This window comes from Homo sapiens, chromosome 1, assembly GCF_000001405.40.
Source record: "Homo sapiens chromosome 1, GRCh38.p14 Primary Assembly".
NCBI lineage: Eukaryota > Metazoa > Chordata > Mammalia > Primates > Hominidae > Homo > Homo sapiens.
The window spans coordinates 20063870-20089750 of record NC_000001.11 but is presented as its reverse complement, the minus strand read 5'-3'; the positions used below and the strand labels follow the sequence as shown (position 1 = coordinate 20089750).

The 25881-nt window shown below is 47.3% G+C and overlaps 1 protein-coding gene across 17 annotated transcripts in view, besides 8 other annotated features; it reads right to left on the bottom strand.

Annotated features, from left to right (window-relative positions):
• The window catches only part of PLA2G5 (phospholipase A2 group V), a 63504-nt gene that overhangs the window by 2161 nt on the left and 35462 nt on the right, over positions 1–25881 (bottom strand). For 5 of the 17 annotated variants that reach the window (XM_047422608.1, XM_047422616.1, XM_005245891.6 and 2 more), the window contains 3 exons: positions 20719–20878; positions 4881–4930; positions 3524–3668 (listed from right to left, as the gene is read on the bottom strand). In XM_047422608.1, the coding sequence (XP_047278564.1) occupies positions 3524–3668; positions 4881–4930; positions 20719–20801 (278 nt within the window). In that variant the 5' untranslated portion in view covers positions 20802–20878. Of the gene's footprint in view, positions 1–3523; positions 3669–4880; positions 4931–12936; positions 12991–18115; positions 18263–18806; positions 18907–19285; positions 19558–20718; positions 20879–25881 lie in introns of those variants that run through there. The other 12 variants (XM_047422645.1, XM_047422643.1, XM_011541591.4 and 9 more) reach the window with 10 other exon arrangements.
• Positions 7081–7250: an enhancer, noted in NCBI's record as "experimental_1659 CRE fragment used in MPRA reporter constructs". NCBI's record gives its function as "activates a minimal promoter by MPRAs in K562 erythroleukemia cells, with activity observed for both the introgressed and non-introgressed 1:20409079 variant alleles {active_cell/tissue: K562}" and the evidence as "EXISTENCE:reporter gene assay evidence [ECO:0000049][PMID:34662402]".
• Positions 7329–7498: an enhancer, noted in NCBI's record as "experimental_1658 CRE fragment used in MPRA reporter constructs". NCBI's record gives its function as "activates a minimal promoter by MPRAs in K562 erythroleukemia cells, with activity observed for both the introgressed and non-introgressed 1:20408831 variant alleles {active_cell/tissue: K562}" and the evidence as "EXISTENCE:reporter gene assay evidence [ECO:0000049][PMID:34662402]".
• Positions 8575–8654: an enhancer, noted in NCBI's record as "active region_312". NCBI's record gives its function as "activates an Ori minimal core promoter by ATAC-STARR-seq in GM12878 lymphoblastoid cells {active_cell/tissue: GM12878}" and the evidence as "EXISTENCE:reporter gene assay evidence [ECO:0000049][PMID:35858748]".
• Positions 8675–8724: an enhancer, noted in NCBI's record as "active region_311". NCBI's record gives its function as "activates an Ori minimal core promoter by ATAC-STARR-seq in GM12878 lymphoblastoid cells {active_cell/tissue: GM12878}" and the evidence as "EXISTENCE:reporter gene assay evidence [ECO:0000049][PMID:35858748]".
• Positions 10991–11110: an enhancer, noted in NCBI's record as "active region_310". NCBI's record gives its function as "activates an Ori minimal core promoter by ATAC-STARR-seq in GM12878 lymphoblastoid cells {active_cell/tissue: GM12878}" and the evidence as "EXISTENCE:reporter gene assay evidence [ECO:0000049][PMID:35858748]".
• Positions 16010–16179: an enhancer, noted in NCBI's record as "experimental_1651 CRE fragment used in MPRA reporter constructs". NCBI's record gives its function as "activates a minimal promoter by MPRAs in K562 erythroleukemia cells, with activity observed for both the introgressed and non-introgressed 1:20400150 variant alleles {active_cell/tissue: K562}" and the evidence as "EXISTENCE:reporter gene assay evidence [ECO:0000049][PMID:34662402]".
• Positions 19512–19681: an enhancer, noted in NCBI's record as "experimental_1646 CRE fragment used in MPRA reporter constructs". NCBI's record gives its function as "activates a minimal promoter by MPRAs in K562 erythroleukemia cells, with activity observed for the non-introgressed 1:20396648 variant allele {active_cell/tissue: K562}" and the evidence as "EXISTENCE:reporter gene assay evidence [ECO:0000049][PMID:34662402]".
• Positions 25461–25755: a silencer, noted in NCBI's record as "tiled region #6877; HepG2 Repressive non-DNase unmatched - State 7:EnhWF". NCBI's record gives its function as "represses a minimal TATA promoter and a strong SV40 promoter by Sharpr-MPRA in HepG2 cells {active_cell/tissue: HepG2}" and the evidence as "EXISTENCE:reporter gene assay evidence [ECO:0000049][PMID:27701403]".

Genomic DNA, 25881 nt, shown 5'->3' with positions numbered 1-25881 from the left:
TGCCCTCCTGACCCCATCCCTAATAGGAGCAAAAATTCAACCATGTCACTTTAGCAGAGGCCACCTTGGTGGACGCGATGTGGCAGGGAGGATCTGGTAGTGTGACTGAGTAATTTCCTGCTCCTCATTTCTAGCCAGCAGGTCATGGACCCTCTTTTTCCTCCTGGTCTCACGACTAGACTACATTTCCCAGCCTCCCTTGCGAGTAGGTGTGGCCACATGATTTGGTCCTGGCCAGGGGAGGTAGGTGGAATTAATACACTCCACCTCCAGACCTGCCCAGACAAACTTCCCACAGTTTACTCCACTGTCCTTCTGCCGCCATCCTTCGGCTGGATGGAGATGACCCAGCAAAGAATTCTGAGGCCATAGGGGATGGCAGAACTACAAGATGGGAGGAGCCAACGTGTGATTCCTACTGAACTGTTATGTGATCCAGAAATAAACTTCTCGTATCACAGGTCCCACATCTGTGGATCAACCAATATGGATGGAAAATGTAAGCAGGCCTATTTTCTTGTGTCTATACTAAACATGTACAGTCTTTTTTCTTGTCATTATTCCCAAACAATACAACAACAACTTCCATAGCACTGACGTTGCATCAGCTACGATAAATAATTTAGAAATGATTTAAAGTATGTGATCGCAGCTGGGCGCGGTGGCTCATGCCTATAATCTCAGCAGTTTGGGAGGCCAAGGCAGACTGCTCAAGTCCAGGAGTTTGAGACCAGCCTGGGCAACATGGTGAAACCCTGTCTCTATTTAAAAATGTATATATAATTAGCCAGGCATGGTGGCACGTGCCTGCAGTCCCAGCTACTCAGGAGGCTGAGGTGGGAGAATCACCTGAGTGCAGAAGGTCTAGGATGCAGTGAGCTGAGATCGCACCATTGCACTCCAGCCTGGGCAACCAGAGTGAGACCCTGTCTCAAAGAAAAAAAAAAATGGTTGGGGGGATACAATCACATAGGTTATATGCAAATACTATGCCATTTTATATCAGGGACTAGGGCATCTGCAGATTTTGGTGTCCACGGGGATCCTGGAACCAGTCCAAGGGATGACTGTATGTTAGGTGTAGCAGATTGCATATAAAAGGTTTTCTTGGTTTACAGAATAATTGAGATCTTACAGAGGAAACACCCAGTTCCTCCTATTACTAATATCTTATATTAGTATGAGACCCATGTTAGAATTAATGAACCAATATTGATACATTATTGATAATTATTCACTAAATAATACATCATTATCTCACTAATTGTAAAAAAAAAAAAGCCATAATTGATTCAGAGTTCCCTAGTTTTTACCTAATGTCCTTTTTCTGTCCCAGGATCCCACTGGGGATCCCATGTTACATTTCATTGTCTTGCCTTTTTTTTTTTTTGAAACGGAGTTTCACTCTCATCGCCCAGGCTGGAGTGCAATGGCGCGATCTCAGCTCACCACCAAAACCTCTGCCTCCCAGGTTCAAGTGATTCTCCTGCCTCAGCCTCCTGAGTAGCTGGGATTACAGGCATGTGCCACCATGCCCAGATAATTTTGTATTTTTAGTAGAGATGGGGTTTTTCCACATTGGTCAGGCTGGTCTCAAACTCCCGACCTCAGGTCATCCACCTGTCTTGGCCTCCCAAAGTGCTGGGATTACAGGCGTGAGCCACCGCGCCCGGCCCATGGTCTTGTCTCTTTAGGCTCCTCTTGGGTGTGGCAGTTCCTCATGCTTTCCTTGTTCTTGACTGTTTTGAGGGGGTACTGGTTAGACATTTTATAAGATGCCCCACGATTGGGATTTGTCTGATTTTCTTTTTTCTCATGATAAGACTGGAGTTTGGGGCCATTTATTTTGTTGCTAAATTGTTCCAGGGTTGGCCACTGGGGGCTCTTTCAGTCAGCACAGGTGCCACTTGTCACATCCCCATCAATGTGGGCTTCCGTTTTGTTTGCGTTTATTTAAGCACTTCCTTACTTTTTGGCACTAAAAGAAGTTCCAGGCTCATCTCGTATATTTCCTGCCTTGGTCCTAGAATTGACCATTTCTTCAAGGAACCCTGTATATATATATATGACTTGGAAGGGGCCTTCTATTGAAGAATGACATTGGAAACTAGATCTAGGCATTAAGTGTGCTTGTTGCTACTGAGATGTCATTTCTTTTAGACCCTCTCCACTGATAGCAAAAGAATGTTTCTATTTGCCCATGTGTATAAAAAAAAAACGTATATGCTACTTGGGAGACTGAGGCAGGAGAACGGCATGAACCCAGGAGGCGGAGCTTGCAGTGAGCCGAGATTGCGCCACTGCACTCCAGCCTGGGCGACAGAGCAAGACTCCGTCTCAAAAAAAAAAAGTATATGATCACACAGGTTATATGAAAATACTGTGCCATTTTATATCAGGGACTAGAGCATCTGCAGATTTTGGTATTCACAGGGGTCCTGGAACCAGTCCGAGGGATGACTGTATGTTAGGTGTAGCAGATTGCACATAAAAAGTATTCTTGGTTTACAGAAAAACTGAGAAGATCTTACAGAGGAAACACCATTTTCTCCTATTACTTACATCTTATATTAGTATGATACTAATATATCCATGATATCTATGCATACTGCTACCTATGCATACTTCCACATGTAAACATCTGTATCTACAATAAGCTAAACAGGAGTCCATACTGATGTCTCCAACTTTAGTCCTTTTGCACATGGATCATTCTGGCTTCCTGCCCTGGCTTATCCCACTCCAACAGTGAGAAACTTGGCCCCAACCATCTGTCCTTCATTTGCTTAATCATCCCTTTCCTTTATATATGTCTAGCAGTATCAGAATTGTTAACCCAGTTGGGTATGCTTTCCAAGGAGCAAAATCTCCCATTTCACATGTTCTTCTAGAACTTTAGCACTTCCCGATCAAGAGGTGGAATCTAGATGCCCTCCCTCTTAAAGCCTTTGTGACTGCTTTGACCAAGAGTACAGTGTAAGTGACACAATGGGATTTCTGAGGCTGACCATAAAACACCATATCCTTTGGTCTTGCAGTTTGGGGTCACTCACTCTTGCAACCCAAGAGTCACCATGCTGGGAGGAATCCCGAACATCCTTGGAGAGGCCTAAGTGACAGGAATTGAGGCCTCTGACCCGCTCCTAGGCCAGGAGATGCTGACCACTTGCCAGCCATAGGAGTGAGCCATCTGGAAGGTGGATTGTCCAGCCTCAGTTGTCCAAGCTGAAGCTGCGACAAGCCATCCCCACAAGCCCTACCCAAATGGCAGATTCATAAGCAAAGTAAATGACCAGTGCTGTATAAGCTACTACATTGAGGACCACTTGTTACGCCACAGTTGACCAACTGACACCTTAGGCCACTGAGATCTTGGGATTGCCAGCTAATTTCTTTGAGGCTTAGTTTTCTTATTTGTAAAATGGTACTTTAATACTCATCTTCCAGAACTGATATGGAATTGAATAAGAAAACATGGGTGCAGAGCCTGGAGCCTAAAGGGCAGTTATAGCGATCAGCTCACCAATCGGTGCCATCCTTGGGGGTTCCTCGGCCGCCCCAGCCGCAGTAACAGCCGTAGAAGCCGTAGTTTGTCAGGGCGTTCTTCCCTGTCACCTTCTCGATCATTGATTTTAGGTCCAGCAAGCCTCCTTGCACAGCAGGCACACCTGGAAGATAGCCCATGTCCCCAGGTGACACCCAGGCAGCCCAGCCCTGCTTTAGGCCCACTGCCCAACATCTCCTACCCTTTCTCCCACCCAGGGCTTGGAGGGACCTGCATGTCTCTTTTTTATTCTCTCCATTAGTGGGAAGGGAGGTGCAAGCAGTATGGAGAACTGGTTAAGAGTTTGGAATTGAAAAATGAGCAGACCTGGGTTCAAATCCTGGCTCTGCCACTAATTCAAAGTATGGTATTGAATGGAGTCAGAGCCTCAGTTTCATCCCCTGGAAAACGGGGACCCCAAATTAGCAGCTACATCTTGGAGTTGTCATGAGGGTTAAAATAAGATCAACTATGTAAATTTTGAGCACGGTGGCAGACACATAGTAAGTGACCATGACATATAAGGTGTAATTCATAATGTATTTGCATGAAGCAGGCAGATAGGAGCTTCCTGTCTCTCTTGGCAATACATCCCTCTTCCCCACCACTCCCTCCCCTCACACCCTTTAGAACATAAGGCAGAGAATCTAAAAGCAGGATGGGACTCTTAGAAATCGCTGAAGCCAGTTCCCTCATCTTACTAATGGGAAACTGAGGCATGGAGGGAAGAGGTGCCCTGTCCAGGGTTTCACAGTGAGCCCAAGGCTCTCTCCTTGCACCAGGCCTCCAGCTCCTCCTGGAGTCTCCAGGGATCTAGCAAGACATCAAGGAGCAGGACAGCCTGTCGGGGGTTGTATATACGGTCACGGGGCCGCAGGATGGGACTAAAGCCATCTATACAGTCACTTCCCAGCTGGACAAGCCTGAGCTGAGAATGACCCAGGAATCATAGGTTGGGATATTTAGATAAGAGTTTTGATTTTTATTTGGATTGATTGGGGGATTTTGTAAATCTTATTTTATTTGCATACAGGGAAAAAATCTGCCTCCTACACTTGCCAGCCACATAACCTCTATGTCCACAACCTTTACACAGCTGAGGTACAATATCTCCTAGGACCCTGCCACAGCCTTACGCATGGACTGCATTAGCCCATGCCAGATGAGGAAGCAGAGGCTCGGAGGCATGAAGGCTCTTGCTGAATGTCTATGCAGTCAGTGCAGAGCCGAGATTCAAACCCAAGTCTCTACGACCTCAATGGCTGGTGTCCTTTTCACCACCCTGTTACTCCCATGGGGTAAAAGTTCATTCGAAGGTCACGGGGCCAGCACTTACTACAAGCCAGGAACCAAGCCAGTGGGAGGAGGCCTTTCATCTCTGGGGTTCTGGAAAAAAAAACACATCCCACAACAGATCTATCAGGCAATGCCCCCGTGGCCCATTCAGATCCCACCCTGGCTCTCCACCAGGCCCCATCTATTCCACTCCCCGTCATGGTGGGCAATAAACAAGATGAGTCCAGCCAGAAAAGATGAGGCAAAAAACTGTAGGTCCACTGAGGGCCCTGGAGGCAGAGGGACAATAATGGAAGCATTTGCAGGGACACTGTCCCTACCACCAGTGCACTTTTAGCCACAAACACCCCAGACATACTCACCCCGTTGGCAAAATGGCTAAAAGGGACCAGAGAATGGGCAGGATTCTTAAATGGAGATTTGGTGGCATACGTGGAGAAGCAGGACTTGATATAACCTAGACATGGCCTTTGATGAAAGATGTAAGACGGAAGAAAAAAATTCCTGGACAGAGAGCACTTGACGCCCACAGCAGGAGGGCAGAAGGAAAGCCGGTGATTCTACATCTCATACTCCTTTTAGCTCACAGTGCTGTAGTTGCCTGTTTTTAAGGATGTCTACCCTGATGGTTCTTTGCAGGCAGAGGCTGGGCGGATGCACACCTCTATTCTACCACTGAGAATAGTGCCTGGCCCAGAGGAGGTGCTCAGCAGTGAAGCCTGGGCTCCCACAATGTGCCAGTGGCTTTCAGGGCCTGATTATGGCTCTTATGGGCCCCAAGCGCTTTTGCCTTTGTAGGCATCTTTCTGCTATATCTTTATATCTATATTCACATAATTATTTTTGACAACTATGATGCTATAAAGAAAAATGTAATCCAAGCTGGATTTATTATTATATATTCATTATTATGTTCATTTCCTTCCTCTTGATTTTAAAAGAATTTATAAAATTAAGACACTCTCCTGGGACCCAGGCACTGTGTCTACCTAAAGAATAAGTCAACCCTGGGGGCTCACGAGAGTGCTGCAGGGTAGGTATTACTGTTCTCATTTTGCCACTGGGAAAGTTGAGGCTCAGAAAGCTCAGGGACCTTGCCAGAGGTCACACAGCCATTAAGCAGTGGAGGCTGGATTCGAGCCGCGTCCTTCTGCACCCCTCACTGCACCACGCAGCCTCCCTTCCCAGAGGCATGAATCCTTTAGGGGTCTGTGTTTGTTCCTTCTCATGCTCTACCTCTCAGGCCAGAGCCCTTGGCTTCACTCCTTAGAATCTGTCTTTGGTAAAAACAGCCATTGCCAGCTTAGAGTCCAGGAAATTCCATGTGTCTCAGGCCAGCACCTGATTCTAATTTGGCTTCTCAGAGGTTCCTTGCCGGCAGCTGCCTGATTGCCTTCCTCCTAGGATCCAAAGTCCTTGTTTGTCCACAGCTCGGCAGGCCTGGGGCTCTCCCCTTCAGTGCTCTGTTGTCTCAAGTCCCTGAGTTGAACGGTCGCTTGTGCCAGAGCTCTACCTGAACCCCTGGCGCCTCCCAAGACCTGGCCTCCAAACATGCTTCAGACTCCCCTGGGCTCCTGGCTACTGGGCTGGCAGGCCAGCCCTTGTCCAGTAGCAACTCTGAATTCCAAGAACATTCCTGAAGGTTCTGTCCACAGCTGGCCTCTGGGACAACCCTTGTCCAGCAGCAACTCTGAATCCCAAGAACATTCCTGAGGGTTCTGTCCACCCATAGCCTCTGCTCCAAGGGCTCCAAACAGCCAAAGAAATGGCCCTAGACCCCACCATTCCACACCAATCTTTCTCTGCTGCTCCCTGGAGCTGTGGCACAAGGACACCACCTGCCACTCACTGAGCACCTCTGGTGTGCCAAGCACTATCCTCTATCTCTCTAAACCCATCAATGACCTTGGCAGGCCCGGTGTCTGTCCTTTTAAACAGTCACTTGTTCAATGAATAACAGTTGTTGATTTTACAGATAAGGAAATTGAGGCTCAGACAATTGAAGTGAGGTCCCCAAGGGTTTAGCCCATAACTGTGAATCTATTTCCTTGACTGACTCTACTCCACTGCCTCTGAGCATCCCTGGGCACTAAACATGCTTTTGATTTTCTATATTTTAGGACGCTTTGACATCTTGGAGGCCAGAGACAGCCTGCTCCTTCCAGGGCTGCTAGTTAATTCCTAGACACCTCAGATGGCTCCTCTGTGAGCATGCCTTTCATATACAGACCAACTGTGACAGTAGGTAGCTGGTCAGACAGGAGCAGGGCAGGAATGTCAGGCAACCATCAGGTGATGGGCAGGAAATTATTAACCATCTCTCTAAAATAATAACTGGTCACAGCCAGCACCAGGGAAAGGTAGTCTCCCAATAAACAGGAATACCTGAAGCAGGTGATCAGCAGCTTCCAGTAAGATCTCAGGAGCTGGGTGAGTGGGCTCACACATGTGCATGAAGAGGCAAAATGGCGGCATTTAACTGGTATATGACCTGCTAGGGACGTTCGGCTGGTAAGGGAAGAACGCCTCAAGGGAGCATGCGTACAACTACAGTCAACACACTGTGCATGCTCCCTCCCAAGTGCTGGCAGGTCACTGAGCGTGCGGACAGCCCACCCCACCAACCCAAGGGAGGAATCAGGGGATAAGGAAAACAAGACCCCTGAAGTATGCCATGTATAAAACCCCAAGTCAAAGGTCAAACAGAACCCCTGAATCTCTCAAGTCGCCTGGTTGGCCCCTCTTCCAAGTGTACTTTACTTCTTTTCATCCCTGCTCTAAAGCTTTTTAATAAGCTTTCACTTCTGCTGTGAAACTTGCCTCAGTCTCTCCTTCTGCCTTATGTCCCTCAGTCGAATTCTTTTTTTTGTCTCACTCTGTCACCAGGCTGGAGTGCAGTGGCACCATCTCGGCTCACTGCAACCTCCACCTCCCAGGTTCAAGTGATTCTCCTGCCTCAGCCTCCCAAGTAGCTGAGATTACAGGTGCCTGCCACCACGCCTGGCTAATTTTTTGTATTTTCAGTAGAGATGGGTTTCACCATGTTAGCCAGGATGGTCTCAATCTCCTGACCTCAGGATCCGCCCACCTCGGCCTCCTAAAGTGCTGGGATTACAGCCATGAGAATTCTTTCTTCTGAGGAGGCAAGACCTGAGGATGCTGAGGCCTGTATGGATACGTCCCACTGCTGACACAACCAGTGCCTTGGTACACCCGGGCCACCTTTCCCTCACTCTCACACTCCAAGCCAAGGTTTCTCCTGCCCTAAATCACCCCAGGGCCAGAAACTGGACAACTAGGGAAGCCTGGAGTTCCACTGACATGATTCAAACTGACCGGTCCTAAACTGTGTCCCCTGCCCCACCAGCCTTTCCCAGAGATCACAGCAAAGGCCCTGGGCGATGCTTCCCGTGGCTCCTCCTGACCTGCCGACCTGGCACTTCCTGCGTGGCCCTGGGTGGAAGCACGCCTTCTTCTGGGAGCTGTAAATAACAAGCTATCTTTTCAATGGCAATCATTTCTTGATCTGTTGGCCTCCCCATACCTGGAGAAAACCCACACCCTGGAAAGAGTAAAAAAGCAGTTTCATGGTGGAGGTGGCAGAGGCATGGAGTGGCTGCCCCGAAGAGTGGAGAGCCATCCACTCAGCAGAGCCCAAAGCGGGCGCCAGGAGGAGGATGTGGACTCAGCTATTTTAATCAAACGACCACAGAGAGGAAGCGCATAGCCGCGAGAGAATTTCAGAGGAGGGCAGCGGTTGCAGTAATGAGAGGGGAGAGAATAGAGACGGACAGCCCATAGGAAGATGTGGAGGCCAGGACGTGGCCAGGTTGCCAAGGGACGGGTCCCCCAAGTCCACATGCAGCAGCTCCAAGACCTCCCAGTTCAGGTCTCCTGGCTGGAAAGAACGCACAGTGCGGAGCCTCATTGCACGGAAGGCACTGCTGAGCCCTCCTGCTGTCTGTGAGAGAGGTGATGGGGGTTCACTCCTCTTCGGGCCCTGCTCCCCTGACCAAGGGGGCCAGGTGTCTCCTCTCATAGCCCCTCTCTCGGCCCTGCTCTCTGCACCTCCCTCAGGCAAAGCAGCCCCAAAGATGAGATTCCTCACCAGTGAGACCTTTTCTCCGTCCTCAGGCCCACAGAAGAGGCCGGGGCTGGGCCCACCTGGTTTTAAAGACCTCTCTGTCACCTCCCACACCCCTGCATGGGCCAGCTCCAAGATTCCTGGTAAGTCACACAGGAAGCCCTACTTCCCCTCACCCTGGCACAACCCCTGGGGATTTTTTTCCATTGTGTATTCAGAAGCAGTTGTTTATTTTGGTTGTTTTTTTGAGACGAAGTCTGGCTTTCCCTCAGACTGGAGGACAGTAGCCCTATCTCAGATCACTGCAGCCTCTGCCTCCCTGGTTCAAACAATTGTCCTGCCTCAACCTCCTAAGTATCTAGGATTACAGGTGCATGCCACTACGCCTGGCTAATTTTTGTATTTTTAGTAGAGACGGGGTTTTACTATGTTGGTCAGGCTGGTCTCGAACTCCTGACCTCAAGTGATCCACCCACCTCACACTCCCAAAGTGCTGGGATTACTGCCACAGAAGCAGCTGTTTTCTGAAGCAGGTCACAGTGCCCAGGTGGCTATCAGGAGGGACAGTGATCAGAGTTGAGCTTGGGCCACCCTCGATCCAGGGCTCTTCCCCACTAAGAACAGGAACCCTGGAATCCCCCTCCAGGGCACAGCCTCCCTCCCACCCACCACACTGGGTCTTTGCCAAGTCCCCCAGCCGTGGGCTCCTGCTCAGATTTTATCCTGTTTTGCTCAGCCTCAACCCAGGAACTGCCAGAGAAGACAGGCAGCCCCGCTCCCGGACTTGCAGCTTTGTCCCCGTCCTCTTCCTCTTGTTCCTAACTTGCCAACCCCCAACTTTTTCTGCCTTGTTCCTGAGCTGGGGTGACTCGGGAGATGCCTGCAGAAACACCACAGAATGTTGCCTGCCACGTCCAGGTGGTAGCCCTTTTTTGGCACCTGACTCTGTGCTAACTTCCTACAGTTCTTCTCTCAGGGAAGGGGAAAGTGCCAGGCTTGCGGTTAGAGAGATGCAAGCTGGAGTCCCAGCTCAGCCACTTAGTATCTGTGTGACCCTGGGCAAGTCACTATATTTCTCTGTTCTTAATGTAAAACATGAGAATTATGAGCCCCTCCAAACCCAGAGGCTCCTGGTGAGGAATGTAGTATATAAAACAAGGCACATGTGGGTCAGGCACAATGGCTCACCCTGGGAGGCTCAGGTGGGAGGATGGCCCGAGCCCAGGAGGTCCAGGTTACAGTGAACTGTGATTGCACCACTGCACTCTAGCCTGAGCAACAAAGCAAGCCCCTGTCTCTATTAATGAATAAATGAATACATAAAAATAAAAATAAGGCATATAAACTAATGTCAGTTGGGGAAGTATATGGCCCAGTGGGTAACATCACAGGCTCTATATCAGCTCCAAGTCCTGGGTTCAAATCCTGGCTTCCTCACCACTAGCCACATCACCTCAGGGCTGACTGAAGCTCATTTGCCTCAGAGAGCTGTTGTTAGGATTAAATGAATTCTTAAATTTATAACTTAGAGCCATAGCAAAGGCAGAGTAATGCTAATAAATCAATGACAGCTCACCTTCTAGAATGTTCTCACAGGACATAAGTAGCTACTAGTATTCTCCATTTTCTACTTCTGTTAATTCCACCCTTCACACCACCACCCCACACACACTTTTTTGAGAAGACTTGGATTTTTTTTTTTTTTTTTTTTTTGAGACAGGGTCTGTCTCTGTCCCCCAGGCTGGAGTGCAGAGACACAATCACATCTCACTGCAGCCTCCACCTCCTGGGCTCAAGCCATCTTCCCTCCTGCCTCTGCCTCTCGAGTAGCTGAGACTACAGTGGGCACCACCATGCCTGGCTAATTTCTTTGTGCATTTTTTATAGAGTCGGGGTCCCACCATGTTGCCCAGGCTAGTCTCGAATTCCTGGGGTCAAGTGATCCTCTCACCCGTGCCTCCCAAAGTGCTGGGATGACAGGCATGAGCCACTGTACCCCGCCAAAGACTTGGATTTTTGGCTCCTGCCTCTACTTGTGTTGACTTCTTTTTCTCTCCCTCTCTCTTGTCATGGTAGCATCAGAGAGAAGCCCCTCCTTAAGGCCCCCATGAACCCTTCTCTTCCTAGGACTAACCACTGGGCTCCCGGAAGAACCCTGTGAATTCAACTCAATATCAAAAATATTTATGAAGTGTCTACTACGTGCCAGGCACTGGGATCCCACGGTGAATGAGACAGAACTTGTGCCTTCACAGAGCTGCCCTTGTGGCTGGTGGGAAACAGATCGTGAAGACAGAAGTAAACACAGATGGTGTCTGGCGGTGATCAGAGCCATGGGGAAGAGTCCTCTCCCCATCCTGTATTTTCGTTTCTTCTTCTCAACCAGTTTCTTCCCCCACCTACGAACACACACCTGCTCCGCCATTCTCAACCAAACAAAACCAAGCCACAAAAAAGAAAAAAAAATCCCTTGCCTCTAGGGACAATTCTACTTCTTTTTTTCTCTAAAAGTCAAATTTCTAAACAGAGAAGGCTGCCCTTCGTCATCCCCCACTCTGAACCCTTCACTGCCTGGCATCTGCTGCATCCTTGAGCTTGCCCTCAGGGACCCCCAAAGCCTGGCATAGCCCAAGCTTGGGGGTCACCTCCTCAGTCCTTCAGGGCACTCATCTTGAAGTCCACCTCCTCCTTCTCGAAACTCTCTCTCCCTCTGGGCTTCACAAGGCTGCACTGTGCCGCCTGCCCTCCTGTGGCTAATCCCCCCATCCCATCTCTGCTGGCCCCCCAAATGCAGGTGTGTTTGTGGGACCTGCCCTCTGGAGTTGCCCTTCTCTGTCTCAGCCACTCTCTGGATGAGCTCATTCGAGTTCAGGGATTTAGCTCTTATTTCTATGCAGGCATCCGGGGGTGTCCCGGACAGAGAAGTTTGGCCCTAGCTTTGACTCAACAAACAATGCTTAATGAAGGAATGACTGAATACAGCAACCAGGAGAAAGCACAATGTCAGATCCAAGATCCAACGTAGGAGAGACGTGTGTTCAAATCTGTGTCTCAGCTGTGACCACTGTGTCACCTGAACCAGCTTTTTCTCCTCTTTGGGTCTCAGTTTTATCTGTGTAAAATAGGATAATCATAGAACCAGACTCACTTAGTAACGCTGATAATTCGATGAGATAAGTCAGGCAGAACGGCCCGGGACAGTGCCTGGCACCCTGTAGGTGCTCAGTAAGTCATAACTACCATAAATATTGTGATTATGTCTTTCCAGTAAACTGAGAACTCCATGAGGGTAGGCTCTGCGTCTGCTTCGCCTCTGTAACCCAACACTTGGCACATAGTAGGTGCTCAGTAAGAGTTTGCTGAGTGAATGCACGACTCCTCTGGCTCCAGCTCCATTCTCACCCCACTGCCCAGTCCACACGTCAAATATGATTACACAGAGATGGATGGATGGATAGATAGACAGATGATAGATAGAGTCTGATATTCTATCCCAATAACCCTTGGGAACCTCAGAACTAAACTCACTGTCCCCTCAAAACAGTCTTTCCCAGTTCCCCTTTCTTGGCAATGGATCCAATCATTCACACTTCGGTGATTAAAGATGCCCCAGCCACTTCCACCTCCAATTGAATGGAAGCCTCTTGAGGGCAAAATTGTCCTCTGATCCATTTCTGATCTTAGCACCTGGAACAATGTCTGACCCATTATAGATCCTCAAGAACTATTTGTAGAACTAATTAAACATCACATAAACACACTTGTTCTCTGTCATTTGCTGGGTCTATCACATGCAGGCTCGCCCCAGGGCTAAAGCCCTGCCAAGGGTAGCCATGGAAACCTGGAAACTCCCTCACCCTGAGAACCTAAGCTGCTGAGATATCCCTGGCCTTGTCAAATGGTTTATTGGCACATGCAACAGGATTACCCAGAGCTCATTGGCAGAAAATCTACATCAAGTCCTCCTCCTCCGGGAAGTCTTCCATGATCCTTCTTTCCACAGGGAGCTTACCTGTCTCTGGAATGTTATAGAACTCATCTGATATGCTGTCCACTCTGGCATTTCCTGTTGGAGGGGATTACAAGGCTGATGGCTCAGAAAGGAATGAGGGAAGAACTCGGTCTTTAATGAACATTTGCTATGCTACAAGTGCAAGGCAAGTTCAGCATTCATGGTATTCCTTAATCTTCACAAAATCTCATGGGGCATTATGATCCCAACGTGTAAGCAAGGAAACAGAGGGGCAGATGTTAGGTACCTCATCCAAGGTCACACAGTTAGTAAAAGGAGGACCCAGAATCGTACACCTGACCCATCTGTCTGTCAAATCTGTGTTCTTTACAAAAAAGGGTTGAGACCCAGTAAGGACATAATGATTGGGATTTTCACAAGACATCTAACCAGAGTGTCACGTGGTTTCCTTATAAACAAGGTGGAAAAGTGAGAGCTGAGTTACAGTTGGTTAAGTTGGTTCAGTGTTCCAATAATTGCCGATGAGTGGAACTGGATTTTTGGTTATAAACTTTCAGCCCAGGGCTCCATACAGCCCTAAGAAATGCTTTGCTTGATCTACACGGTGCTTTAAAAAAAACAAAATGGAATTAGCTGCCAATGTATAAATGCTAAGAGATCCTAGACAGACATCCACATTTCCAGGCCAGGCACAGTGGCTCATGCCTGTAATACCAGCACTTTGGGAGCCCGAGGCAGGCCCGAATTGAGGTCAGGAGTTCGAGACCAGCCTGGCCAGTGAGGTGAAACCCTGTCTCTACTAAAAAGTACAAAAATTAGCTGGGTGTGGTGGCGAGTGCCTGTAATCCTAGCTACTTGGGAGGCTGAGGCAGGAGAATCGCTTGAACCCGGAAGGCGGGGGTTGCAGTGAGCCGAGGTTGCGCCACTGCACACCATCCTGGGGGACAGAGTGAGACTTTGTCTCAAAAAAAAAAAAAAAAAAAAAGAGAAAGAAATCCACATTTCCACATTTCCATTTCCAGTTTCTTTTTAAAAGATCTAGGAATCCTGGGTCTGGACTCCTACAGGCAACAACTGGCCATTGCCAAGAAGTAGCTGCCCCCATAGATGTGGTATGTGTTTTGCTCTGCCCTAGTCCTTAACCACTCCTTACAGTCTTAAGTCTAATCTGCCTCACAATTGCTCTCTGCCTGGAGGAATCACTGGTCAGCCCTCATAAGCCAATACAAGCTGCACACCATGGACTGAGGCTGGATGCATGGTGCCCATGCCCTGGAACGACCACTTATTAGCTGTGTGACCTCTGGCAACTTTCTTAACTGCTCTGTGCCTTAGTTCACCATCATGAATAATTGGGTAAATAATTGTACCTGTCTCATGTCTATGTTCTGAGTTGATACACGGTAGATGTTTAGGCACATAGTAAGGTCTCAATAAATACTGGTTATTTTTAACAGGATGGTGGGACATGCCCCCAAGTGACTGCTCAGAAACTTTCTTCAAGTGTTTAGTAGGAATTCAGGAATGGTGGGAAGGACTGGCCAAAGAGATGGAGCTGGGTAGGTCACAAAGGCCCTTGGGGGTCAGGCTAAGGAGGTTGGATCTTGATCTTGTCCTGATCTTATCCTGATCTTGATCAAGAACAAGATAACCTGAGTTCTATAAGAAGAGAGTGAATAGGCCCTGTCCAAAGACCCCCAAAGCTGAACTGCACAAGGACAGGGTGGGTAACACAGCTCAGCAATCACATGCGTGACCCCCAAACCCAGTACTAGTCACATCACAGAGGCAGTGGTCATCTTTGGCGGTGGTGGCAGGACTGTGGTGCCCAGAACGAGGGTTCCTAGCAGGCCACACCCAGAGGGATGTGCCTGGCCCTGGGCCCCCATGTGAGGAGGCTTAGGAGGTGTCTGGATCACAGGAGACAGAAGGGAGGGAATTGGGGCTGACTTGGGTTTGGAAAGTGGCTGGGGGTACCCAGTCTGTCTCCAAATCTCTGAAGGGCTGTGGGGAGTAGGAGGAATCAGAACTGTCCCATGTGGCTCCAGATTGCGGAACCAACACCCACCAGGCACGGACGCGCTAAGCAGTCAGATTTTGGCTCAATCCAAGAACGTTTTTCTAACAGCTCATGTGTCCTGGGAATTGAATGAGCTGTCTTGGGAGTGGTGAGTTTCCTCTCCCCGGAAGGCACTTTTTATTTGCCACTTTTTAGGAAAAGAAATGTCGCATGGGAGGTGGGCACTGAGTGGGTGGGATATGCCCCCGCTCGACTTCTCAGGAAAAGGAACTTAATCTTTAAGTGTTGGAAACACTTAAAATGCAGACAAGATCTGTCAAAGCTCATGAAGTCAGCTTCGTCAGTTATGAAGCCTCGGTTCTATCCTGTAAAAAATGTTTTTAAAATTACATTTTGCCAAGGTTCAAAAACAAAGAAAACTCATAAGCCCTTCAGTTGCTCCGTAACATGGAGAGAGCTGTCAATTATTTTGTGCTCCCTGCCCTGTAGGACCCCCTCCCTGCAACAGTTTATGCAGGCCAGAGTCGTGTGCAGATATGTTACAAGAGCAATGACCAGCATGAGAGAAGTGGATGGGCTCCAGGATGCCCGCAGGCTCTGACATTCTGTGCTCTCGAATTGACTTATTCTTGAACTCTCTGAGCTTTTCCAACAACAGCTTTTGCATTTCCTGCTCCCCCTGCCTAGAATACTTAGTCCTTGATTCTTTATCCTCCAGGTCTCGCCTTAAATGCCACCTTCTCCAGGAGGCCTCCCCTGACTACCTACCCAAGGTCACCCTGTTTTTCCCCTTCATGGCACTGACCGTCATCTTTAACTCTCTTTTACTTACTTGTTTATGGCTCATGTGCCTTATGCCTGCCCCTAGAATATAGGCATCTGAGGGCGGGAAACATGTTCATCTTGTTCTTTGTTATATTATTAGCAGGTAGCAGAGGGCCTAATGCATATCTTCTTTTTTTTTTGGATGGAGTCTCCCTCTGTCGCCCAGGCTGGAGTGCAATGGTGTGATCTCGGCTCACTGCAACCTCCGCCTCTCAGGTTCAAGTGATTCTCCTGCCTCAGCCTCTTGAGTAGCTGGGATTACCACGCTGGGCTAATTTTTGTATTTTTCATAGAGACGGGGTTTCACCATGTTGGCCAGGCTGGTCTCGAACTCCCAACCTCAAATGATCTGCCTGCCTCTGCCTCCCAAAATGCTGGGGTCACAGGTGTCAGCCACCGCACCCGGCCCCTAATGCATATCTGGTGGCTGATAATTATTTGTGGAATAAAAGAATGATGGGATGGATGAACCAATTAAATGTGGAAGTAGAAGCAGCCCCAAGTGGGTTTCAGCCAGGCTGTAAATTGGCAGCTTCCTGTAAAGATACACACCACTAGTTCTATCTGGGTGTCAGCCTAGCATGCACATGCAGCTTATACATATGTTACAGCTATTGGTTAATAACAGGCTCAAGTTCAACTTTCACCATAACTTTGGCTAAGAAGGCAATCCACACACCAACTTCATAGCAAATACATGTTTTATCTTTGAAAAATGTAATCCATTAAACTGTTCACTCTTAAGAAATCTCCCATGAACTAACCTTCCTTTCTGTCTTTGTTTCTGTTGTTTTTCCTCCACCTAAAATGCTCTCCACTCTCTTTTTCTAACTGGTTAAAATCTACTTGTTTTTCCACATGGTTAATGTCCCTTCTTTTTTTGAGGAGGGAGAAACCCTAGGAAAGGCTGTCACTCTGCCTGGCAAGATCACAGATGGTGCCCAAGGTTCTAGGCTCATGAGCCTGAATCATCTACAATTCAAGGCCGCTCCACCTGCCTCAATCCCAATCCAACCCAGCAAATCTTTCTTGAGCAATTTTGTGGGCAGAGGTCCCGTTAGGCACTACGAGGACCAAATGCAAAGTGAAATCCACCCGTGCAAGCACCGAAAAGTTTCTAACCCAGTGTCTGTCTGTTAAGACAGGGGATGTGGGAACAGGCCTTCAGAATGTCCGTCACGTCTAGAATAACACTGAAACTTTTTCCCTGGGCCTAAGAGGAGGTGCCTCCTCTTTTGAGACACCTTCCCTGATAGCTCCCCAGCAGAGTTCATGGCTTCCTCCTTTTTTCCTGGGTCAATCTTCCTAACCTCTGTAACAGCACATAGCACATCCGCCCAAGTCAGAGGCACCTGTCTCCCCTCACAGGACATGGCCTCGCACAGCTTGGCCCCCAACCTACGCCAGCCTTGCCTTATACCACCCCTAACGCATTCCTGGGAATAAGCTGGATGTGAAGGCTTTTAGTTCCTTAAACTCACTAATTTCAATCTCTCTCTCTCTTTCTCTGTCTCTCTCTCCCTCCCCCTGTTCCCTTTTCATCTGTTATTCCCTCCCTTTCTTGTCTTACTCAACTCCTACTCATCTTTGTAAACTTAACGTACTTATCATTCAATAACTATTTAGCAAGCACGTATCATGTGCCAGGCACTGTTCTAGACACTGGGGATACAGCAAAGAGCAAAACAGCTGAGAACCCTACCCTCATGGCAGAGCTTGCATTCTGGAGGGAGAAGCCAGAAATAGACAAGCGAATAAGTAAAATGTACAGCTTGTCAGGTGGTGATCGATGAAATGGAGAAAAATAAAGCAGGGAGCAGGGTGGGAGTGCTGAGTGTGTGTGTTTGGGGATGGGGACGGGGACTGTTGATGGTGGGAGTGGCCACTTTATTTATTTATTTTTGAGACATCTTGCTCTGTTGCCCCAGGCTGGAGCGCAGCGGTGCGATCTCAGCTCACTGCAACCTCCGCCACCTGGGTTCAAGCAATTCTCCTGCCTCAGCCTCCTGAGTAGGTGGGACTACAGCTGTGCACCATCATACCTGGCTAATTTTTGTATTTTTAGTAGGGACAGGGCTTCACCATGTTGGCCAGATTGGTCTCGATCTCCTGGCCTCAAGTGATCCACCCACGTCGGCCTCCCAAAGTGCTGGGATTACAGGCATGAGCCACCACACTGGGCTGGAGTGGCCACTTTAAACAGGGTGGCCAAGAAAGGTCTTGCTGGGGAGGTGACACTTGAGTAAAGCCGTGAAGGAGCAAGCTATGGGGACATCCTAGGGGAAGAAAGCTCCAGGCAGAGGGAAGAGCAAGTACAAAGGCCCCAGGGTAGGAGTGCACCTGTGAGCTGGGAAACACGGAAGCTGGGTCTACCTTTGCCAAAATGTCTTGTGAATCCATCGCCCTGCCCGGAACTGGATCAACCCCCTGCCCTGAGCTCTCCCAGTACCGTGTGCTCTCTCTCTTCACAGCACCAATCACATTGTGTTGCAATGTCTCTCCCACCAGGCTGTGAGCAACCTGCGGACAGGGACAGTGTCTTTTATTAATACTTTGACATCTCCAGTGCTCAGTGTAGGGCATGATACATATTTATTGATGAAATCAATCAACAAATGAACAAACTAGACTGTGAATCCTTGAGGGTGTCTCATTTATCTCTCCCTGGCAGCACCTAGCACTCTGCATGGCACAGATTGGATCCTAGGAAAAAATGTTTGTTGAATGGCTAATAAAAATAGCTGATGCCTTATTGAGCCCAGATACCACACTAAGTTCTTTATGGGCCTTCTCTCATTTTATCCCTAGGGTGACCCTATGAGGTAGATATTACCATCATATGCACTTTGCAGATTGGGACACTGAGGCTTGAAGAAAAAAAAATGACTCACACCTGTGCCCAGCTGGTCAGTGACAAAGCTCGGAGTTGTCCTGATCCATTTGACTCCTGAGGCCACGTATACTTAGCCCAAAGCTAGACCGTCTTCAGAGAGGGAAGCGAGAGAGAGAGAGAGGGAGAGATGGAGGAAGGGAGGAGAAAGATCTCCCTATAAGGGCATCTTACCCTCCTCTGGGTTTCTTTCTGTGTGTACCGAAGTGTCTGGCACACAGTGGATGCTCTCAACAATTAAGGGATGTTAAATAGATGTCGGCGAATTCTCTCCCTAAAGGGGAATATTTGCCTGTGGTTTAGGTTAAAAAGAAATCCAAGCAAGGCCTCAGATTAACGTAAACACAAGTCCTAACTCAGCCTGTTCATAACTCTCCCTGGTTTTGCCCGTAATTTTAGGTATGACCTTCCGGTAACCTCCATCTTCCCTTGAGGTGTGGCCTGGCCTCCTTAAAAGCCCGCTCTCCAGGCCTGACAATGACAGGTGAAGGACCCTAGCAGCCTTAGAGAGACTCCTTCAACAGAGGCTGTGCCTGCGCACCTCCCCCTGGGCCTCCTCTTGGGCTCTCCACACACCCCCTTCTCCAGTCTCTCCCTCCCAGCTGGCGTCCCTCCACAACCCCCAATTTATGCAGCCCCCATCAGTAACTAACCTCTTTGGCCTGGCCTCAAATCCTGCTCTAGAGGTCTGCTCCCATGAGCAACTTCCTTGGGCAGACCCTGGAGACCCGGGTCTCGCGGGCTCCCCGTCTCCAGTCGGAACATTGGTATCCACAGACCATGGATCCGGGGGGAGTCAAATTCTTGGCCTCCAGAATCTTAAAGCTGTGAATGGGAGTGACCGATGATGAGGACAAACCCGGAGGTGGGGAGGAAAAACTTCTGCCTGGACCCAGCCGGGTAGAACCCTGCTCAGCCCCCGACTGCCTTTGCAGAGGCAGGAAGTCCTGCACAATCAGGGCCTGTGGCTGGCTGTCCTGCCAAAGGGGCTGGGCAGTCACCCAGAGAATTCCAATGCGGGTGGATTTGAGTCCTGAAATATCCAGGTCACGGCTTTAGCCACTTCACAAGCCTTTGCTAATCCCCTCAGCCCGAAGTAACCCCTACCTCAGTCCTGGGCTCAGAACCTTGTTAAGGCTCTGACAGCCTGCTTAGAATCTTGACTATCTGAGTCCCTGGGGGCTCATCAGTCTTGGCGGGGACAAGAACATGAACACAATACTGTATCTAGTATACAGTAAAACTATCTAATATACAAATTTCCCCTATTGTCCCAATAATGGTTTTTATATCCAATTTGTTGGCTTTTTTCCGATCCAGAATCCCAACAAGAATCAGGCATTGCATCTAATTGTTGTGGCTCTTTGGTGTCCTTTAATCTAGAAAGTTCTTTAATCTGGTTTCTTTCTTTCTTTCTTTCTTTCTTTCTTTCTTTCTTTCTTTCTTTCTTTCTTTTCTGAGCTGAGGTCTCACTCTGTCACCCAGGCTGGAGTGCAGTGGTGCAATCTCAGCTCACTGCAGCCTCGGCTTCCTGGGCTTCAGCGATCCTCCCAGTAGCTGGGACCACAGGCACATGCCACCCCATGCCTGGCTAATTTTTTGTATTTTTTGTGGAAAGGGGTTTCACCATATTGCCCAGTCTGGTCTCAAACTCCTGAGTTCAAATGATCCACCTGCCTCAGCCTTCCAAAGTGCTGGAATTACAGGTGTGAGCCACCACGGCCAGACTTAATCTGGTTTCTTCTTTAAAATGACATTGATGCTCTTGAACCCAGACCAGTTGTCTTGCAGAATACTCACCAATTTGGATTTGCCTATTGCTTCCTCATGATTATCAGGTTAAATGTTTTTTGTAAGCATATTGCATAGGTCAGATGAGGGGCATGCACATTTTCAACGTTACCAGTCATTCCTAAAATACTCTCTTCAATGGATGTGCCAGTTTACATTCCTAGCGGCACCATAGCCAGCACTTGATAATATCACATTTGTCAATTCTTCCCAATCTGATGAGTATAAAATTGCGTATCATTGTTTTCACTTGCTTCCCCTAGCTGTTGGTGCAACTGAGCATTTTTACACACACCTTATGGCCATTTGGATTTCTTCTTCAACGAATGGTCTGTTGGTATCTGTGCCAATTCTGGGCCTCTTTGTCCTAACTTCCATCCGGGTCCTTCCTGGCTCTGCTGTGTTGGAGAAGGACGTAGGGGGGAGTGTGTTCCCTCAGGCTTCTGTATCAGCGGCTTCCAGGAGGCAACACATTGGAAAACAAGACAACAAGTGTTTGCTATATATGTTGCAAATATATTCTGTAAGCATGCCAGTTGTCTTTTATTTATGGCATTTTTATAATATAAAAACTTTTGGCCGGGCGTGGGGGCTCACTCCTGTAATCCCAGCACTTTGGGAGGCCGAGGTGGGCGGATCAGCTGAGGTCGGGAGTTCCAGACCAGCCTGACCAACATGGAGAAACCCCGTCTCTACTAAAAATATAAAATTAGCCAGGCATGGTGGCACATGCCTGTAATCCCAGCTACTCAGGAGGCTGAGGCAGGAGAATCGCTTGAACCCAGGAGGCGGAGGTTACAGTGAGCAGAGATTGTGCCATTGCACTCCAGCCTGGGCAACAGAGTAAGATCCCATCTCAAAAAAAAAAAAAAAAAACTACCACTTTTAACTTTCATGCCATACAAGTTATCAATCAGTAATGTTTAGTACCTTGTTTGCAAAGTCCTGCATGCCTCTCTGTAACATGAGTTTAACAATATTTTTCTCAGTATCTTTCTCCTATTGGTTCTAAATTTCGGGGTTTTACACTTAGGGCTTTAATCCTTTAATTCATTTGGAGTTTATTTTCATGTGTAGTATGAGGCAGAAATTTAGTTTTATTTACCCGTAAGGAAAGTCAATGATTCCAGCACCTTTTGTTGAACAGCCCAGTGTTTCCCCTCTGATTTTATTTTATTTTTATGTATTTATTTTTTATTTATTTTTTTTGAGACGGAGTCTCGCTCTTGTCGCCCAGGCTGGAGTGCAATGGCACGATCTTGGTTCACTGCAACCTCCACTCCCAGGTTCAAGCGATTCTGCTGCCTTAGCCTCCGGAGAAGCTGGGATTACGGGGGCCTGTCACCATGCCTGGCTAATTTTTGTATTTTTAGTAGAGATGAGGTTCCACCATGTTGGCGAGGCTGGTCACGAACTCCTTACCTCAGGAGATCCGCCTGCCTCAGCCTCTCAAAGTGTTGGGATTACAGGCATGAGCCACCGCGCCCGGCCTCCCCTCTGATTTTAATGTTTTCTTTATCACGTAAGTTTCCACCTATGCTTAGATCTATTTCTGGGCTTCCCTTATGTTGCTTTGATCTATTTTTCTACACTTGCCCTAATATCACTCTGCCTAATTACTATAATTTTTTTTTTTGTTTGAGACAGAGTCTCACTCTGTCGCCCAGGCTGGAGTGCAGCAGTGCAATCTCAGCTCACTGCAACCTCTGCCTCCCAGGTTCAAGGAATTCTCCTGCCTCAGCCTCCTGAGTAGCTGGGACTACAAGTGTACACCACCACACCTGGCTAATTTTTTGTATTTTTGTAAAGACAGAGTTTCACCGTGTTGCCCAAGCTGGTCTCGAACTCCTGAGCTCAGGCAAGCTGCCCGCCTCGGCCTCCCAAAGTGCTGGAATTACAGGCGTGAGCCACCAAACCTGGCCTAATTACTGTAATTTTTTTTAAGTCTTCATATATACTAAGGAAAATCCCTCTTCTCTCTTCTTTAGACATATTTTGGTTATTCTTTTTTTCCAAGAGATAGGGTCTTGCTGGATGAGATGGCTCACACCTGTAATCTCAGTACTTCAGTACTTTGGGAGACTGAGGTGGGATCACTTGAGCCCAGGACTCGGAGACTAGCCTGGGCAACATAGGGAGACTCCATCTCTACCCAAAATTCAAAAAGTACTTGGGCATGGTGGTGTGCACGTGTAGTCCAGCTACTTGGGAGGCTAAGGTGGGAGGATCGCTTGAGCCTCACAGGCAGAGGCTGCAGTGAGCCATGATTGTGCTACTGCACTGCAGCCTGGGTGACAGAGTGTGACCCTGTCTCAGAAAAAAAAGACAAGGTCTCACTCTGTCACTCAGGCTGGAATGCAGTGGTGTGATAATGGCTCACTACCATCTCGAACTACTCAGCTCAAAAGATCCTGCCACCCAAGCCTCCCAAGTAGCTCGGACTACAGGCACATGTCACCACAGCTGACTAATTTTTTTTTCTTTTTAGAGATGAGGTCTTGCTATGTTGCTCTGGCTGTTTTGGAACTCCTGGCCTCAAGCAGTCCTCCTGCCTCTGCCTCCCAAAGTCCTAGAATTATAGGCATGAGCTACCATGCCTTGCCAAGAGAAATTAAATCAAAAGAAAAATAAAATACCAATATCTTACATATGTACACAAAACAAAAAGCTTCTCTGGTACATAAAAAAAGTTATAACTAAAGTAATAGACCAACTGGAATGATTCAATAGAAAGTTCATAGGAGGCAGTCGTGTGCTATAAAATGGTTTAACAATCAACTCTTGTAAGGAAGGTGGAAATCCCTGATTTGTAGAGTCTGCCAATTTCTTCAGTGTAAATACCCCCAATATGGCTGATCCCAAGTTACCAACATGATACCACTGAATGTGGAGCTGGGAAAAGAAATGTTAAGTTGGACTTTATTAAAATATGAAACTCCTGCTTTGTGAACAATACAAAAGTCACAGACTAAGAGAAATGCTTCCAAAACACATATCTGATAAAGGACTTGTGTCCAAAATATACAGTGAACTCCTAAAACTCAAAAATAAGAAAATGAATAACTCAATTAAAAAATGAGCAAAAGATCTGAACAGACACTTCACCAAAGAAGACATACAGATGACAGTTAAGCATATGAAAACACATTCAATATCATATGTCATTAGAAATTGCAAATCAAAATAACTATGACATACCTACGAGGATGGCTAAAATCCAAAACGTTAACACCACAAATGCTGCCAAGGATGTGGAACAGGGACTCTCATTCAATGCCAGTGGAAATTCAAAATGGCACGGCCACTTTGGAAGACAGTTTGACAGTTTCTTTTGTGCATCTGTGCAGTGGCTATTCACAAGTGTGATTATAGCATACTCCAGTCTCAAACTCCTCGGCCCAAGAAATCCCTCCTGCCTCAGCCTCCTGAGTAGCTGGGACTACAGGTACATGCCACCACACCCTGCTCCAATTTGACAGTTTCTTACAAAGCTAAATATAGTGTTACCATTCAATCCAGCAATTGTACTCCTAAGTATTTACCCAACAGAGCTGAAAACTTATGGTCACTCAAAAACCTGCACACAAATGTTTACAGCAGCCTTATTCATCATTTTCCCAAAATGGATGCAACCAAAAGAGTTTTCAATAGATGAATGTATAAACAAACTCTGATACAGCCATACAATGGGATGCTATTTAGCAATAGTATAAGAAATAAGCTATCAAAAAGAAATAAGCTATCAAATCACAAAAAGACATGGAGGAACATAAAGGCATAAATTAATTCAATCTGAAAAGGATATATACTGTATAACTCCAGCTATATGACATTCTGGAATAATTAAAACTATGGAGACAGTAGAAAGATCAGTGGTTGCCAGGGGTTTGGGAGGACAGAGGGATGAACAGGCAGAGCACAGAGAATTTTCAGGGCAGTGAAACTGTTCTGTAGGATATGGTGATGGTGGATACATGACATTATGCATTTGTCAAAACCCATAGAACTGCACATCACAAAGGTGAACCTTAATGTATACTATGGGCTTTAATAATAATATATCAATATTGAGTCAATTTTAACAAGTGTGCCACACTAATTCATGATGTTAATAAGAGGAAAATCTGTATATGTTGGGATAAGGGGGCGGTATATGGGAACTCTATACAATTCTTATGTAAATCTAAAGCTGTTCTAAAAAGAACCATCTACTAATTTAAAAAGAATTCCTATTGTCATAAATGTCCTGAAGTTATTGCGTGCATTCTCATTACAATGCAAGCATGGTAAATACTTTATTTTCTTCCTTTGTTTCAGGTCTATTTTGTGTTTGACATGTTTTGGTGCTCTCAGGCAGTACATCTCAAATTTTCCTGTGTCTACAAGTCAACTGGGGGATCTTGCTAAGATACAGGTTGTGATCTACCAGGTCTGGGGGAAAGCCTGAGATTTTTACATTTTTAACAAGCTCCCTGGTGATTCCCATGGAGCTGGTACATGGTCCACACTTGGAATAGCAGGACCTACAAGCAGACAAACAAGACTGGAGACCCAGACTCCACCCTTTGTACTCTGTTTTCTTTCTTTTTCTTTTATTGTAGATACAGGGTCTTACTATGTTGGCCAGGCTGGCCTCGAACTCCTGGCCTCAAACAATCCTCCCACCTTGGCCTCCCAAAGTGCTGGGATTACAGGTGTGAGTTACCATGCCTGACCTTGTATTCTGTTTCCTTTTTTTTTTTTTTCCTTTTTTGAGATGGAGTCTCGCTCTGTCACCCAGGCTAAAGTACAGTGGCATGATCTCAGCTCACTGCAACCTCCGCCTCCCAGGTTCAAGCGATCCTGCCACCTCAGCCTCCCATGTAGCTGGGACTACAGGTATGCACCACCATGCCCAGCTAATTTTTTGTATTTTTAGTAGAGACAGGATTTCACCATGTTGGTCAGGCTGGTCTTGAACTCCTGACCTCAAATCATCTGCCTGCCTCAGCCTCCCAAAGTGCTGGGATTATAGGCATGAGCCACCACACCCGGTCTGTATTCTGTTTTCTAAATAAGGAAGAAGAACTATCTAATTTTATGACTATGCTAACCAGTAGTTATATTTTTTTAAAAAATCTTGAAAGGTCTGTTTCCACTGATGTTTCATCCTGAGTCATATCCATTTTCTATTTCCAAAGGCATTGGGATTCCCTGCTCCAACTAAATGAGTCAGTTGAGATCAGAAGTTCATATGTCCAAGTGAAACTCAGCGAAAGGTCCATAATGCTCCCTGGCAGTCAAAGGGCCACTAAGTGTTGGTATTTGCATAAGTCAAGTGCATTTTGCATTCTAGAGGCGATCAAGGTCACTGCCAGAGTTGCCCCAACAATGGCTACTTTGTGGTCAGTAAGAACATGCTGCTTACTTGCTTACTTGAAGGAGAGTCTTAAGCAGGTGGCAAACATGATGAGAGAAG